Genomic DNA, 18,437 nt, shown 5'->3' on the forward strand with positions numbered 1-18,437 from the left:
GCAGCTAACATATAAAAACAAGTATTCTATCCATTAGCCATGATAGTAATACCGATGTGCTACTTAAGTTTTAAGGAATCATTTATATTTCTATGCTGACTCCACATGTCACACAAATAGGAAGATTTATTGTATTACTTGGCATTTTGAGGAAAAAATCAATCTATTTTGCCGCTGCTTAGTGGAAGAAAACTCTTGGGTCAACTTATCTTTTTAATCTAAGAGGTCTCAATTGAAATTGGCTTTGAAGTTTGCTAATTACAAAACTCAACAGGGGTTTTCCCTTATTTGGTGTAACTCATATTTCTATTCATTAACCCCAGTTTTAAAAAGATTAAAAAAGTCTGAATAGAAACAACTTAAAAGTTTGAAGAACAGCCTCTCCCCTGTGATACCTTTACAGATACTTCAAGTGCAAACTTCCCCCATACTATCAAATTCTATTTAATTACAAATCTTCTGTGGTTGCAGGAGGGGGAGGTAAAACACATACATTTTGAACTTTCCAACCACACAGGGCTGTAGGAAGATGAGAAATCAGTAAATTCTTTTCACTCTATATATTGGGGAAATTTATGTCAACCTGAGTTACAAGGAAATCAAGATTCTGAAGGGCAATCCTGCTAGCTGCTTTTGCAGGGCCAAGCCACTGGGTTCAGATGCTTTCATTCGGGTGAAAAGATCATTACCAGGCGGCTCCGGGGAAGTTGGCCCTCCTGTAAGTGTGCTCCTTTGTTATGAATATGGAACAGATGGAGCCAAATCTATCTGCTCTGTAGGAACAAAAACACTTACAACCCAGCTCTCTCTATTAAAGACTCTACTTAGCTCCTTTATACCATCGGCTTTCTGTGCACTGCTGTGAGGTTTTGACTTTATAGAAAAAGGCACTTCATAAAAGCAACAGTTCTTACTCTTAAACCAAAGTGGCCTAAGAACTAAAGAAGATGAATACATGGTTTCACCGACAGGACTCCTTGGAGATATGTAGATATTCAATTAGGGGTGTATGTGTGTGTAGGAGGAGGAGGAAGACTGTATTCAATTCTGGTAAATGTCTGCATTAAAACAACATGAAAATATAGAAAAGAGCGATGAAGATGTCATGTTTCTCATTACAAGGATGGCATCTAATTGCTCTAGCATAATAAAATGGCAAGATTTAATTGTGTATATATGTCTGTAAGGCTAGCGAGGGCTGTCTTGAACAAAAAATATGACTATGCACAACAAAATCATGCAGGTAAATATGATTAGTAATTAGGACCATACCACAAAACAAAGGCTATATGATGCTTCTTCACTATGAAAAATAATATTAATTACTTTCAGCATCATCATGCCAATTTGCTTTTACAGTCTGAAAGATGTAAACACTGCAGGTAAAACCAATGCATGCATTTATTTATCATGCCACAAGAAATCTACAGCCATCCCTACAACGTGCTGTTGCCAAGATATATGTGCTGACAGCAAGGTAAGTTTCACAGGCTTCCGGGTGTGGATACACTACTGTATACGCACCTTCCATTGATAGCAACAGGGGGAAAGGAGTGTCTGCCTTATTTCATTACATTTATTATACTGATACATTTAAAGTCTGGCTGCCTCTTCGGAGATAATTGAAAAAAGAAATTCTGTGGCAGGATGCTTTGATTCTGACTAAATCAAGTCTTCGGGCAAATTTCCTCCTGCCAGTGGAAGCACAGCTTGCCTGAAGTCGTAACCTTTGTGGGAGGAAAGGAACTGGCCTTGAAGCAGATCATGAAGCAAATGTTTTATGCCAAATCAGAGTCTGGGGATACGTAGGCTACTGCAAATAAAACTCTTCTTCTGTCTGTTCAATCATTTCAATTCCCTGCAGTGTGAAATATGAACTTGCCAACAAATGGCCAGCGTGCTGTGCCTCGCAGCAGGGGGGGAAGTGCCACAGCTGTGCCAGAGACTGGAAAACTCAAGATGCGCATGACATGTTCATTAGTTCCCCTGTATAGCCAGGGCCTGAACCACGCCAGTCTCCAGAACCATCCACAGGGAAGCAGAAGGAGTGTTTACTATACCCAAAAGAGTTAGACACGATTTCCACCAAAATGAGTTGCACAACTTGTGATCCCTTTGATGACCCGAGAAGGTTAGTCTTTAAAACAAGAACACATCTCTGGACAGGAATAGACAGAAAATATTATGTCTGCCAATGATTACAGTTTTTTTCTGACTTTATTAGCAGCCTGCTCTGTGAGCAATAAAAAATGAAATAATGAATAATACTTTCAGTATCCAAGCATCTATGAGAGATTGAAAGAATTTAGATGTCTCTTCTCTTTATCAGAAAGACAGATTTGTGGAAAATGCCTGGCTCACCCGTTGCAGGCAAACATAACACTAGTTCTTCCTAGTGTAGTAGCCTTCTACTGCATTCTACATTACAGTTTCACAATAATAAAATAGTTATTTGTCTAAATTAAAGTAACATTAGACTAACAAATTTCAATTTGATGTCCTTTGCCGCATATTGAACATACATATTCACACATAGCTTTATATCTGCAACCCTAGATATAAATATCCCATATTCAGTTCTATTGTGAGATTTTTCAAAGGTTATTCACATGCTTTCTAGTGCCACATTCTTTCAAATTTTAATCATGAGCTCCCTAAATAGAAGTCATTTGCATCTGTAAACATTCCCTTGCAGTAGTATTTAGCAGTGTATTCTCTTTGTGCAGAGCTATTTTAAAAGGAAAATAAACCTTAATATGGAACAACAATCAAGCATGAGCATAAAGAGGTAAATTAGAGGCTTGAGAAACCCTGTAAACCCTTTATGTAATTTCTGAAAAATGTCTGAAGTTTCTCAATCTTAAAATAGCCCAGAATCATATAGCTTATTTCAGATGGTGGATTATAGGGATACTATTCATATAATCCAACTTATGACCTAAATCATAAGAACATATTCAAGAAATGAAATGAGTTTGAGATAATTTACTATTCTGAAATGAGGCCAAATAAGTACACATGGTTCAAGCTCGAAATGATAGACCATTATCACAAGTGATGGCGAGTTCTCATTAGTCTGGCATTTCTAAATCAATGTTGTAGTCAATAAATCTGTTGCAGAATGGTTACACATGATCGTTTTTAGGAATTAATAACAAGACATATATTTTTGTTTTAGGATTCTTTTCACTCCAATTACTCTAGAATATTATTTCTTCATAATGTTTATTTTTCTCTATTTAACTTGACCAAATACAAATTAGAAACATTAAATTATTTCTTAATTGACATGGAGCTTGGTGGAAGCAAACATCATCTCAGGATGTACAATACTATTAATATTTTTATAACAGCTATCAATTATCTACTATTTCCATGCACCAGGAACTGTGCCAGGTTTATTAAGTTTAATCCTCAGCACATTTCTTCGAGGCAGGTATTATTATCCTCATTTTAGAGATGAGGAAACTGAGGCTTAGGGAGGATAAGCAGTTAGGCGATGTCATACATAGCTAGTGTAGGGTGGAACGGATATTCAATTCCAAGTCTTCCTGATGCCAGAACTATACAACCTCAGTTTACAGTATAAATCATACTTTTCTTCCTGACTACCCTACTTCAAATATTTGTTTCATAATTTCCCAGAAGCTCTTAAAGGCCCTTCCAGAAAAGTCTGGGGGAGGTTGAAACTTGGTAGAACTTGACTGTGTAATCTTAAGCATGTGCAACAGATTTCAATAAAAAAGCTGCATGGTGATTTTGCCCGCAGAGACATGCCCTATGCATATTTTCTAATCAGGTGCATGTCAAGAAAAAGCCTTTTAATATTATATTACTGTAACTGTCGTACTCCTTTTTTAAAATTTTAGTTTTTCAAGCTACAGTAGGACTTTATGATGTGCTCCTAAGTACCCACATGCACTATGGCAGGAGGAAACAGGAAACAAACACAGTAACCTAATGTTCCAAGAAGAAAACTGGAAGAACCGGCAGCGATACTCGCCATGAAAGAAGACATTTCCCAGCCTGGCCTTGCCATCTCTGACCTCACAGCATGTCCCTTGAGATTTGGGCAGCCCTTGCCTGCTCCCACTCCTGTGATGCCTCAGCCCTGGCCGGAAAGAGAAGCAAACTAGCTGATGATGCTGTGCCACGAGAACCAAAAGGAACATACAAATCAGAAACGTCTGTTATCCAAACCCAACTGAGAAGGCTCTGTCTCAGGAAGGGACCTCCCCATTTACATACAGACATTCCAGGGCCTTTCTGGATGTCTCTGAAAAGTAACAGATGCAGCAGATTCACTCATTTTTACCTTAAAGTCAATAAGGTACACCAAAGGTGACTTTGTATCTATTTTTTTCCTTCTGTAATGCAAGTATTTAATCAATGAATGTCCTATTTAATGGCATGTGTTAACATTTTTCTATACCATCTGTTTGCCAAAAATTACTTACTTTAACAGACCGAATTCACAGAATCTCAGTTAGCCCAAGAAGCAAAAAGGATTCTGCTATACTTGGGGCAAATGGGCAACAGTCCAGAGTGATCCTGGTGGAAACTAAGTCAGATCATGTTACTTCTGTGTTCTAAACTCTCCAATGGCTCCAATCTGACTCAGAGTGAAATCCCAGATCCTTACCATGGTCTATGATGAACCGCCCCCCATACTCCATAGCACCAATTAATATTTGTATACATATTCTATGTATTTATATACATAGAATGTATACAAATACATATATTTGTATACATATTCTATGTATTTATATACATAGAATGTATACAAATACATATATTTGTATACATATTCTATGTATTTATATACATAGAATGTATAAAAATACCTATATTTGTATACATATTCTATGTATTTATATACATAGAATGTATAAAAATACCTATATTTGTATACATATTCTATGTATTTATATACATAGAATGTATACAAATACCTATATTTGTATACATATTCTATGTATTTATATACATAGAATGTATACAAATACATGTATTTGTATACATATTCTATGTATTTATATACATAGAATGTATACAAATACATATATTTGTATATAATGTATACAAATATTAAATTAATAGAATGTATACAAATATTAATTGTGGTTTTTGCCATTACTTTTAAATGGCAAAAAACTGCAATTACATTTGCACCAACTTAATACACATTCTGCACATGTCTACGTTCCTTTCCCTTTGTTCAACCTATTTGAGCCATGCAGGCCTTCTTGGTGCTTCTCCAGGCCCACGATCTCTGCAGCCTCTGGATGTTTTTCTGTTCTCTCCACCTGGAAAACTCTCTTGCCAAATAGACACATGGATTGCTTCCTCATTTTCTTTAGGTCCCTCCTCCAATGTTAACTATTAGAAAGGCCTTTCCTGACTATTTCATACATACACACACACAGGTATACACATACAATAAGTATGTTTTATATATATATATCACAATTTCCCCAGCTTCACATTCTCTATTCTTCTTACTTTACTTTTCCATCATAGTACTTACCACCTACTTGACATATTTTATATTTATTTATTTGCTTATTTAATCCCCTCCCAGCCTCCTGTCCCCAGTAGAGTGTAGCTTCTATTAAAGCAGGGCCATTGCCTATTTTTTTCTCTGTTGTATTCACAAAGTCTAAAATACCTGTTGAATGAAGTAAGAAAGGAAGGAATCAGTGAATGAAAGACAACATCACCTCAAGAAAAACACTTGTTTTCTCACTGATCTGCTCTAACTGCCCGCAGAATCACAAGTTTAAATTAGAAAAAAGTGAAATAAAAAGTCTAATCACTGGCATATGATTAGGCATATGAGTTTCGTGCAATTTAAGTAGGTTCTTAAATCAGCTATCAAGATGAATAAGTAGCTTATTTTTCAACATATACTAGGTTTTTCTTCACATTTGTGCAAAGCAAAATTAGTTTAAACGTACCTTTGAAAAAACTTATACTAATAACTTGGTAGTTATTTTCAAAGCATTCCTGCAAAGGGTGAAGGCAGATGATGGCAAACTATCAACCAAACATTGAGTCTAATGCAGGCCCTAGGTTATTCTTGGTGACCTTTTTTGCAGTAATGCCGAGTAGGAGCAGCAGCAGCCCTGATTAGCCCGAAAACGTCTAAGGAGTGACATAGACCTGGAAGACATTCTCATTACCACCATCATCAATGACCACTTTCGCATCCTCAGACCAAGCGGAAAGCTAAAATCTCGGAATCACAAAACTCAAGTTTATGGGGGATCATTTAATTTATTCTCTTCGTTTTACAAATTTAGAAACTAAGCTTCAGCATTTCAGAGAGATCAAGTGGCTCACCAAAGTTCATCTTACTTGGGAGAAGAATATTGAACAAGATGACCTGGGCCAGGGACACTTATCAAAAGAAAAGAGAAGTGTTCACTCAAACTACCTAGGACAGAACTAGAATAAAGAAATTGTCCCCAAAGCTCCTCTTAAATACTAAGAACCCAATTTTTAGGAATTAAATGTTTAATGAATTTACATTATAGCTAGTTCTGCTAAAATTTATGAAACAGTTTAGTTGAACTTTTTATTTGCTGAACATATTCTTTAGAGTGCACGCAAAATCAATGTGTATAATACATTTATGTCCCCTTTAGAGAAAAGAGTATAATTTTACCATTTTAAATAACTATGAAAGGTTATGGCTACTGCATCTTTGCCTCTGACATAGGGTTGGTCATAGTTATGATTTATTTTTTCTCAAATATATGGTCAGAGACACAGTCTCAATTAAGATATTACTCCTGAAGGAAAACGGGAGGCATTTTACAACTCTCTGCTTTATGATTCTATTTCCAGAAAGCACAGGGGTGAAAAGTGGGAGCTGTCTGTGATACTAATTTGAAAAACTAATGAAGTAATGGAACTGTTATTTCTCCTAATGGCTACCAGGCCCTATTCTCTGCACAGTGTAATACTGTATCTACACATGTATGACTTAAGGCCACAGCTACTACCACAATGTGCCCTCAGCAAAACAACGCACACACACACACACACACCCATCACCATCACCATCACCATCACTGCTGCCACCACATCTTACTAAGGAAAAGGCTTATAAAATTTTTATCTCAATTCTCAGGGGCCAAGAATTTTATCTCAATCTCAAAGAAATGTTCTTTACACTCCCTCACAGCTATCTTTTCAAAATTTTCAACTACTTTTGCTCCTTACAACCAATTTGATCCTGAAAAGTATATGTAAACTGAATTTTTAGAACAGACCACTTTTTAAAATGCTCTAGGGCTATTGAAAAGAACTCCATTTTTGTAAATGGAATAATCACTCTGCAATTTATCTTTTGTAAAATCCTAATTTTCTTATGTCATGCTTGTTTAAAATGATATAGACCTGTTCAGAATTCCTCAAGGGGATAAAACCAACATTAATTATTTCTTTCTACTCCATTTCAGTTGAAAACTTTCTCTAGAATAAAAAACAGAATTTTACTAATACTTGGTAGCGTCTGCCTTGTCATTCTCTTTATATTGGCACAGATCCCTTCATTCTAGAAAGCAAGACTTCTCCTGGTAAGGCCTTGGTGAGCTCTGACCCTTATGCAAATGTTGAGTGAGACAGCCCTGGCCTCCCACACAGACAGACCAAACCATCTTTTATCGATTCCTCCTTCCCTTCCTTGTGCCCCTGTGTCTACAATAAGAAAGAAGATATGCAGTCCCTGCTCTCAGGGCCTTACACTTTAAAGAGTAAAATACAAAATTTGAAAATGTCATTGTTCTGAAGAAAGAAGCAAAAGGTTTGAAGGTTCTGTATGGGATGGAGTGGTAACACCAACTATTGAACCAAGGGGCCCAGTCCAAGGTGATAAACTCCACATCAAGCTTGAACACAAAGACATTAAAATCTTCCAAGGGGTCAGGTTCAATTAGAGCCCTTGGCAATCTGGATACACTTGCTAATCTGAAGGGAGTACCAGATGCAAGACAGTTCAAAAAGCATTGACTAAATACTTACACCACCCTAGGAAATGAACTCATAAAGACAGGAGTATGCCTCATCTTTCGTCTTTGGATCACCAGCGCTAGAAGCACCTACATTTCCACATCCAGAGTAGCTTCAGAAGACATCAAAATTTGGGGAACCTTTTGGATTCAGCAGTCAGAACCCAACCATTAAAAGCACCAAGGGCATCCCCAAACATTAAGCCTGTGAGAGATTGGAAGGGTGTATGGGATGCAGCAGGAACAATGCTCTCGTGTAACTATGTAGGTAGGATAATGCCTTCTGTCCCAAAGAGATACCAGACGAGAAACTACTGAGTATTGCTAGGGATTGCAAAACTGGCTAGTCATTCCTTGCAAAAATAGGATTCTCAATGTTCAGAACCAACTTGGAAGGCATATGTATTAGTGAGTGCCTGTCCTTCTATAGCCCCCAGCTTAGTCATAATTGAGGTATTACTTAATATTTTCATCAAAGAATGTAAGATGGACTTACGAATAGGTTTATAAGGAAAATTATTTGGGTGCAGTAACTAGTTATTGAAGCCAACTAGTTAAATTGTTCATTAAAGTGGAACAAAGTTCAATAAAGACAGTTAAGGCATGCTATGAGTCAGAAGCACAGAGCCTATCACATGAACAGAAAAGCCACTTACTAGGTACAAGTATGTCTCAGGAAAAATGAAGCCTACAGCAGACTGCAAATCGAATGTGAGTTATGCTGGTCTACTCATCAAATCTAATCAGAAGTTTTGTTCTCACATTTTGGATCTGCATTCAAAATGGGACTCCAGAAAGATGACAAAAGTTATATAAAAGACTTAAAACCGGTCTTGTAGGAACAGCCAGAGGAATTTAAGTGACATGATTCTTTTTTTTTTTTTTTTTTTTTTTTGAGACGAAGTCTCACTCTGTTGCCCAGGCTGGAGTGCAGCGGCGCGATCTCGGTTCATGCAAGCTCCGCTTCCCGGGTTCACACCATTCTCCTGCCTCAGCCTCCCAAGTAGCTGGGACTACAGGCACCCGCCACCACACCCGGCTAATTTCTTTTTGTATTTTTAGTAGAGACGGGGTTTCACCATGTTAGCCAGGATGGTCTCGATCTCCTGATCTTGTGATCTGCCTGCCTCAGCCTCCCAATAAGTGACATGAGTCTTTGAAGGAAGAGAACACTAGTCTGTATATGTTGCTCATCTGAAAAGAAGACTAGAGGCAAGGATGTGTTTTTAACTATACAGAAAGTCTGGTTGCACTGACCAGATAGAAAGGACTAGATGATGAATGGTATTAAAATGGATTTTTATGACCAGGAGAACTATATACTTAGTATACTTTAAATGTGAATGGGATTTTGTAAATAATCTAACCTAATCCATGGAAGTCAGTTCCCTCAAAATGCTCCATAAAAAAAGGGTTCCCAGGTCTAATAAATTTGGTGAGCACTGTATATTGCACCACTCGCTTTGAAGAATTAACAATACACAGTATCATATTTAAGGCATCAGAAAGTTTTTCAGGAAAAAAAATAACTTTAACAAAATTAACTTAAATTTAAACAGAAATTATAACATCTTAATAATTTTCTTGTTCCTTGTAACTGTCTTTGGATCCTCAATCTAGCCTAACTCCCTCTCTTACATTTGAGAAAACAGACTCACTTATATGACTGGCCCTAGATCTGATTAGAGTTGGGCAGTGGCAGAAATGAGACTTAACCCAGTCTATTGCATGTCTTATATTCTGTTGATGCCAATGAAATAAAGCTGGAAATTAAGAAACAGGATGTTTTCCATTCTTTGTCGTGGAGTCGTTGATTTTTCATATTATATCCATTAAAAGAAAGAAAAGTAATTAAATTTGAGATAAATCTTAACTGAAAAATATAAACCACATTCTTTAATTTGTTGACCACAGCTAAACCTGCAAAAGCACTAGAAAAATATAAGAGTACTAGATAAAGATAAAATAATACTGTACAACACACTAGAAATATAAGTGGTAAATTGACCTCTGCCCCTGTTGCACTTAAAGGATTAACTGCATAAATCTTCTCTTTGTTTTGAACTATTCCACATATTCTACAGTACTGTTCATCAGTGAAATACACCCTGGTTTTGGCCAGTGGTTGTTTCTGCCTATTTTGCATCACTACCTAACTTCCTTAGGCTAAAAAACAAACCAACAAAAAAAATACTCTGAAGAACTCCTCTTTCCTTATCTCATGCAGTCTTGGAGCTGTCGGTCAAAGTATTCTCTATTCTTTCCAAAGCACAGGCATATAAGCCAATCAAATTCCTTCTCCCAGGAACTTGCGTCCTGAGTAGGGTGACACAAGGAATTGAAAAATGTTAGAGCTAAGAAAATCGAATGGCTGAGTCTTGATGAAACTATCTACTTGTTTCTATATTTAAGATCCCCACCACTGTCTTGGTTCCTGTCCATCCTGAGGTCTTCAGTTAAAATAACCAAACTCTGGAAGGAAAAGTCTCTCTTTTTGTTTGTTGGTATTTGACACAGGGTCTCACTTGGTTGCCCAGGCTGGAGTGCAGTGGTGCAATCATGGCTCACACCAACTATAGGCATGGCCATCACGCCTGGCTATTTTTAAACTTTTTTCACAGATGGGGTCTTACATTGTTGCCCAGGCTGGGCTCGAGCGACTCTCCTGCCTTGGCTTCCTAAAGCACTGGAATTACAAGGTGTGAGCCAACATACTTGGCTCTTTTTGTTTAAGTTAGCTGAAGTTGATAAATGTTGTTTATAAATGGAGAACCTTAATGAATATAATACTCATCTGTGGTGTACTTTGCAAATGGATGGGGTATTATCAAATGTTCATAATTATTACAGGGATCATACATTTGGCAATGAATTATTCCAGAGTGTAGACACAGAAATGAAAAGTAATATTAATTTAAGTGTGATGGGTTAAAAAAAATAGCTCTTAAAGTCATCTACAAATAAGGCTTGCCAAAATTTTAAAAATATAGATTGGGTGATACTAACTTTGGGCGACTTATTGATTAACCTGTTTCTGATGGTAGAAAGAATTATTCTATCTTGTGTCTCCGTGGTGTAATTTTATTAGTGAAGTGACAAACCATGCTTCCCAGTGGTGCCTTGAACTGACTTGGAATGTACGGTAAAATACAGATTTCCTCAAATGAATTGCCAAAACCATTAATCTTTATCTAAGGACCCATAATAGTTTGTTCTCAGTAGCAGGTGGGGGAGAGAGAGAAAATGTCTTCCAGAAAGCACTTTGGCAGTCAATCTGGTTGATAATAAAACTTGATGAAACATCTGTGATTAATATTAATTCTGATTCTCTCTTTAATGGATAATTGTGAAAAAGATAATTTATCCCATTTCATTTAGACTACAGCTGAGTTTTTCAATTTAGAAAAAGAACATTTCTCCACGTTTCTCAGGTATGAGACTATAGGGAAAAAAAACCAGGTGCACAAAACCTGCCAACAGACAGGCAATTTTCTAGTTAGCCCTTGAAAATATTTTGTACACGTTCAACTGACCACTACAGATTTGGATGTCACCCCCAAATGGTTCTCTAAGTGAGTAGACTGATTATTTCTTCATCCTCACCACTGTAGAACACTCTAAATGAACCACAGTGAACTGAATTAATACTTTTTGAACTCAATTAATATATTTGGCCATATTTGATTCTGCAAAGATGGTAAGAAAAATGCCCTTGTGAGTAAATGACAGTGAGCTATTTCTGACCACCAGTGTATTTCAAACTAGTTGATGATAGAAACTATTTTTGACACATGCAAATGTATAATTAAAAGTACCCATAAAAATTTGTCATGGAAGCTACCATTAATTTTGACAGAAACTAGGAAAGTAACTAATTGCCTTTCAAATATCAATATTAAGAAAACCACTTATTAAACTAGCACTTCAACTCATTTACACATGGAAAACTTGAAGCATGGGTTGAAGTCTCCTGCCCAACTCTCCAAACCTAATGAATGGTGAAGCCAAAACCCAGGCCTCCTCATTCTCATCTCATCTATCTTTCAAAACTTAATAATACTTTTAAAAGGAACCTATGAAATAATAGACTTATTTTCTAAGAATCAGGGCATATTATATGGTTAAAAAAATGACTGTTGTCTAACCCAATACAGAAGTGGTAAATAGTGATTAAGTACAGATCACTGTTGACCTTTAATCATAACCAAATCATTGCTCCATTTAAATTGACTCCATTTTCATCAGACTCTAACTGACATCAGGGAGAGCAAAACAAACTGACAAGCACAAAAGGCACAGACAATGGGCACTGACTTCTTCAGTGTTCCTTCCAAAAACCTCATGTCATATAAATAGAATATTACAGGAACTATTCATTATTCATTTCTTTCTCTCCAGGTACACATTTTCCTTCGAAACTGTTGGTCCAAAATGAATATTTCTTATCACTTGATATCTTGCCTGTTTTCTATTTTTATGTGGCTTTCTGATTCTTATCCTAACACAGCTTGCCACTTTGAAAAAGAAATTTATTTTATGATAAAAAATTTTGTTCAATTGTACAAGAAATGCAAAAACCCTAAAGGGTTCTATGGTTTTTGTTTGCATCAGCAAGGTCAAATTATGTCTAATTTACAGGTAAAGCAATGAGACAATTTACTTGGTCAGGCAGAAGGAAGGATTTATTATGACCATTGTGAATTAGATGACTCCCAGAATCTTAGTCTATTTTAGTCTTTATCTTAGACTTAGTCTCTCCCTAACCAGAGCTCCCTGGATTATACCAACATTCACATCACAAAGACTGCCATTTCTCAAGACTGATGGTACTGTTGACATGACCCTTCCATTTAATCAAATCCTCTAGTACCCACTTCTTTCAAGTCTTGAATTCAGACCCATCCATTCCTACTTTAAGCCAATGTTCTCGAAGTGTGGTACAACTTGCAGGAAAAACAGCTGGAGGGCTTATTAAAAATAGATTCCTACATTGCAACCTCATAAAGTTGAACGAATCAAACTTTATGGAAGTGGGTTCCAAGAATTTGACTTTTTACCTATCATCTCCAGACAGATCACGAAATTTGGGATAGCGTCTTAAGCCCTGAGACTTAAATTCCACCTTGTCCCTCAAATCAATATGTTACTACATCTTTAACTGATCTCTTCCTCCTGAAATAGTCGTCTCTCTCTCTTTTATGGAAAGTGCTAATCTTATAATTCACTTTATTTCTCTTTTTGCTGTTATTTTCATGAATATATTTTTCCCACACTGGATTGTGAGCTCCTAGAGGACAAAAATCATATTGAATACTTTCTCCACACTGTCCCCTACATTGGCCCTCTAGGTAAACATAGCTCAGTAAGCACTGATGAACTGCTTGACTAATGAGAAAATAATATGTAATACTGAAGTGTGTCCTTCTATAGCCACTGTAGATTTTCTACAAATATAATGATGCACAAGTACCAACAGCCTCAAGTAGAGTTTAATAAAGGGGTTTTATAGCATTTGGAATACAAATATTTCACAAAATTGCCACAATAAATCTAAAATATACTTTAATAATAAACTAACACATTGTAGCTAAAGGTCAGAAATTCTGTTATTTGATTAAACTAATAATCTAGCAAATGTTATTGATTTAGCAATTCCACTTAATATAAATATCATAAAAACTCATGCAAAAATCTCTATACCTATTGCAAAGGAACTAAAGGCAATTAAAAAAAAAGAGAAACTCAAGTAAAGGATATTAATATCTCTGAGATTAGAATCATTTCTGCATAAGTACCAGTACTATTTATAGAATAAGCTTTTGAACACTGCTTTTCACACATGGATAAGAGCTAAGGGCATGAACTTTGAAGTCAGAATGCCTTTGCTCAAATCTGGACTCAACTGTACATGAACAGTGTGATTCTAAACAAATGATTTGACCTGTTTGCATTTCAGTTTTTCTCATTTGTAAAATCGGAACAATAACAGTGCCTAACACGTACCTGTGATAAAGTATGGATGAGATTATATATATATATATACATATGGAATGGATAAGTGCTTACTACATGCTAGCTATTAATATATACCCAGCAAGCACCTAGTCATAAAACAAATGATTTCAATGTATTTATATGATAAGCCTCAAATCAGTTTACTCTTTAAGAATATACTACTACTCCCTATTGCCTGTTACATATATTCAAAACTCTTCAGAACAGAATTAATGGTGCTTCATAATCTGACCCAATCTATCCAGTTTTTATTTTCCAAATACTCTCCACTCCATTCAGACCTTTTCATTGATCCCTGAGTTTATGCTGTTCTGATTCCTTATCAGGAGAGGCGAGGCCAGTAAGAGAAGAAATCCACGTGAGCGGTGTGAAGCTTGTTTTTTGGAGGGCTGCTGGGTGGGCTCCCTGACTCCGGTAATCACCCTCATGAACCAGTGCCAAGATCCCCTCTGTGTAAAATCTGGGTGCTGCACATGGCTGCTACAATTCCTTAACTTCATTCAAAAGGATTTCAAATGTTATAAATTCTCAGTGTCTTTCCCCTTATGGGAGCCCTACTCATCTTTCTTGTGCAAAGATGTATAGTAACTGCAAGTCTGTAAAACACTGGTGGATTTTAAATAACAATAGCAACAGCAAGTATAACTAATTACAATAAGTGAAACAATAATTTGCAGCTGCTGTGCTGCTTAAGGCTAGATAAGGTAAGGCAATCCCTGGCATGGAGCATCATGTTAACAAGCTGCAATGTTGAGACAGTTGTTCACTAGGCTTTGCAATATATCCACCAACGCCTACACTGTGCTATTGATTCTGTTAATGAAATTTAACCTCTGAAAAATGACTCAGGGCACTGAAGAGACATATACTTTCAATACTCTTGCTAATCATTAAATGCCTTCATCACAATTGAAACAGGAATGGTGAATGACACATTTCATTATGTCATCATGTCTGACCCCACAAACCATTCAATAGTACTCTGCTTTGTTCTATAAACCCATTTACTTCCTAGTATGTAAATTTCAGGAATAAGTTGACATGAAATTTCCCTATACATTTCCCATTAGCTGTCTTGAGAACAGGGTCTACCTAAGTTCCAAGGTGAAGGTAGAACTTAGATAACGACTTGCCAATGATGCTTGAAATCTGTCTACTTTTAACGTCTTTTAAAATATTTATTATGAAATAATTGAATAAAGACTCTAGGCTTGGGGTCAAACTACATGGGTTCAAATCCTGACCCCAGTACTAACTACATGATCTCAGGCAAGTCACTTAACCTCTCTGAGCCTCAGTTTCCTCATCTATATGATAGATAATGATAGTACCGGCCTCACAGATGAGGATTCAACAATTTAAAACAGATACAGTGCTAGGTACAGTGCCTGCCACTTAGTACATGCAATATATGCTAAATCACTCTAATTACAACCATCAGAACAAGTGTTACCGGAGGAGTTATTAGTTAAAGCATGAGTAAACCTTTAGCAAAAGGCTAAACTAAACTTCATTTAAATCATTGCAGTATTCATCATACTGCTTCAAAACTGACTGAACTGAACTGCCCCCACTGTATATAGTAAGACCTCTAAGCAATATACTAAAAGTAAAAAATTTGCCTGTTCACATTTTTAGCCTCCAATTTACTCTCCTTGCTTACTTAGATTTGCCCATTAAAAATTCCACCTAAAATGAAGCAAGTATGTCTGAAATCAAGGTTGAGGACCAACAGAAACTGTTAAAGCAAAACATGCAGTAAAACTTAATCAATTCAGATTTTAGTCAGAATTTGTAACAATTTACTGGAGGAGAAAATGAACTTTTAAAAATGTCTGTGAAAAAAAAAATCAGACAAAGCAAATTTACATTAGAAGCCTGATATTGGAGGTACTAAAAATTGGGCAAGTTAAAAACAATATACATTCTTCTTAAAAATGATTCAGAGCACATGTTATTTGTTTTTATGGGTTTACATGCAAAAGGGAATGTTAACCAAAAACTAAAACTTAGCTAACATTAATGTAGATAAAGCTAGTTGGAAATATTGTATATCTCTAAAAATAGTAAAATGAAAAGATATTATCATTCCAATTCCCAACAATAATAGACCTGGCTGGCTGTTCTCCAATTCATGATATTTTACTTTTGAGGCTCAGAATGAATTAATTTTTTTGTGAAGCTTTAAACTTTAAAACCAAACCCATACATAGCATACATATTAAAGTTCTGTTCCTAATGTGGATTTTATACAATCTGACTTAAAATATTCGATGGAAAAGAAGCCTGTTGCCAAAGTCCACATATTTCCCCTATTAAACAGAGGTAAGCCATATCCCCAGAAACCATATTTCAAGCCCAAAGGATACTCATGAACTAAAATAATGAATGATAATGCCTCGTTCTCTGCATTAATAATAAAGAAAGAGAAAACAGAAAACTTGATAGCCACTATCAGCTTTCTGGACCATAAATCTCAAGTTTTGAGAATTGCTTCCCAAAAGGGTAGGGAGCAAGGATGAGTTGTGAGAGCTTCGGAGCCTAGAGATATTTTTTTAGCAAGCCAGCAAAGCACTGACACAAATTTCTACATATCTCTGGCTGTGAAAAGTCTCATTTGTGGTGATTTATATTTCCCCATAAAGAACTCTGTAGATAATATAAGCCTGCTGTAAGGCTGTATGACAACTTTCAAACCAAGAGTTACATGACCATTTGGTGAAAATAGAGCAAGAATAGATGAGTGGGAAAGTCTGTAGAAATAGTATTTCTTCTGATGAAAGGCCCAAATGCTGTTCTTCCAGCATGCACGAGGTTCAGAGAGTAACCTTTCACTCTGTGTGTATGTATCTTGTGGATAATATTTTGGTCGTCTATTCTAGAAAGTATTATTTTTTTCCCAAAGATTGACTATGCATTTGGTGTGTGCATGCTTGTGTAATTTACAAGAAATGACACTCAGACATCATCACACTGAAATTCAGTTGCCTTAATAAGTTACTAAGAGAAACACAGAGAATAGCATGCTGACAACCCAAAGTCAATGAAGTATAAACACTGTTATTCCAAGTGTCACTGGTGTGTTATTTCCTTTTTTCCTGGCATCTGCTCTATGTAACACTGTACACACACGTGATACAGCAGCTCATTAAACTGTTTCAGTTAACTCTGAAACCAAATTAGTGCATTACATGTTTATAAGGCTGAGAATTACTGCTTCCCTGTGAAATTACACAATTAATCAGTTGCATTATTTCTTTAGGAGATGCAACCACGTTTGACATTTAAGGATAAAAAGAACAATCCTTTAATTTGTTTCCATTTCACCATTGAGTCTCAGTAGGGTAAAGGAAGCAAAAGGTGACATAATTCCTCCTTTTCCCTTAGGAGGTCAGAACTCTACATGCTTCCTCTGTCTCATAATAGCATTCTGAATTCTTAAAAGCAGTACAAATAAAAATTATTTTGGTTTTGAACTTCTCGTCTGAGTGTCACAGCCTTTGAAAAATTCAGACAATGGGAAGGGTACTTAGGAGTCTTCAGTTTCTTATGGCTTTATACCGTGAATTTCCATCAAGTCCTGATTATTGAGTAACTTTTAAGGCTCCTTTTGCAAACTTTCAAGATGGTCCCAATGTAAAAATCTATTAAGCGGTGATATCTGCTCTATTTTCCTTTTTCACAGACCTGGCATTAATTTCTCTGATTCTTTTAAACAGGAGTTAAACTAGACTCATCCTTTAGTCACTTAACAGGGCATGCATTTCCTTTTAAAATCCATGCTACTTGATCAAATAACTTGTCAACAAATTTAAAAATACTTTTCAATACCCTGTGTTCCTATGAATTGCCTCCTCCACCTTTGATTTCACTCAAACTATGTGAAGTGTGCTAGGCGAAGCCATTACCAGAAGGCAGAGGTACAGGTCTAGCTCCAACAGCACCTGAGCTGATGCTGCGTATGCATGCTCAGAAGGTTAAGAGGGCACCTGGCAGTAAATAACTGTTTTCATAAGAGGAAATTACAATTAACAGAATAATTTCCACAAGTCCCTAAATATCCTCTTTCATGTTCTTTATTTAACCTTCATTTAAGAGCCCTTGAAATTCATTCATGCTTTCCTAAAAAATGACTAGGGACAACTTGAAACAGACACAATTCCCTAAACTCATTCTTTAAATAAAAAGGTGCATTATTGCAGCTTCACTAAAGACCTGTGGGAGTATACAAAGCGAATAGAAGGACTATTTTCAAATAGAGACCCGATATAATTCTTAAAAAATATGCTGGCTTTCAAGGGGAGAAAATTGTTCCATTCTATTTTCAAAATAACACAAAACTTACAAAGAAAAACTAAATAGTTTTTGGTGACTAAGATGTACTTTGCATCTATATCTGGGTAC

At 36.2% G+C, this 18,437-nt stretch overlaps 1 protein-coding gene across 3 annotated transcripts in view, besides 1 other annotated feature; it reads right to left on the reverse strand.

Annotated features, from left to right (window-relative positions):
• The window catches only part of EFNA5 (ephrin A5), a 294,044-nt gene that overhangs the window by 24,240 nt on the left and 251,367 nt on the right, over positions 1-18,437 (reverse strand). The gene's annotated exons all lie outside the window — the stretch shown is intronic.
• Positions 485-1,022: an enhancer, noted in NCBI's record as "OCT4-NANOG hESC enhancer chr5:106737319-106737856 (GRCh37/hg19 assembly coordinates)". NCBI's record gives its function as "activates a minimal SCP1, AML or CMV promoter by ChIP-STARR-seq in naive H9 embryonic stem cells {active_cell/tissue: H9 hESC(naive)}" and the evidence as "EXISTENCE:reporter gene assay evidence [ECO:0000049][PMID:30033119]".

This window comes from Homo sapiens, chromosome 5 (assembly GCF_000001405.40).
Source record: "Homo sapiens chromosome 5, GRCh38.p14 Primary Assembly".
Classification (NCBI taxonomy): domain Eukaryota; kingdom Metazoa; phylum Chordata; class Mammalia; order Primates; family Hominidae; genus Homo; species Homo sapiens.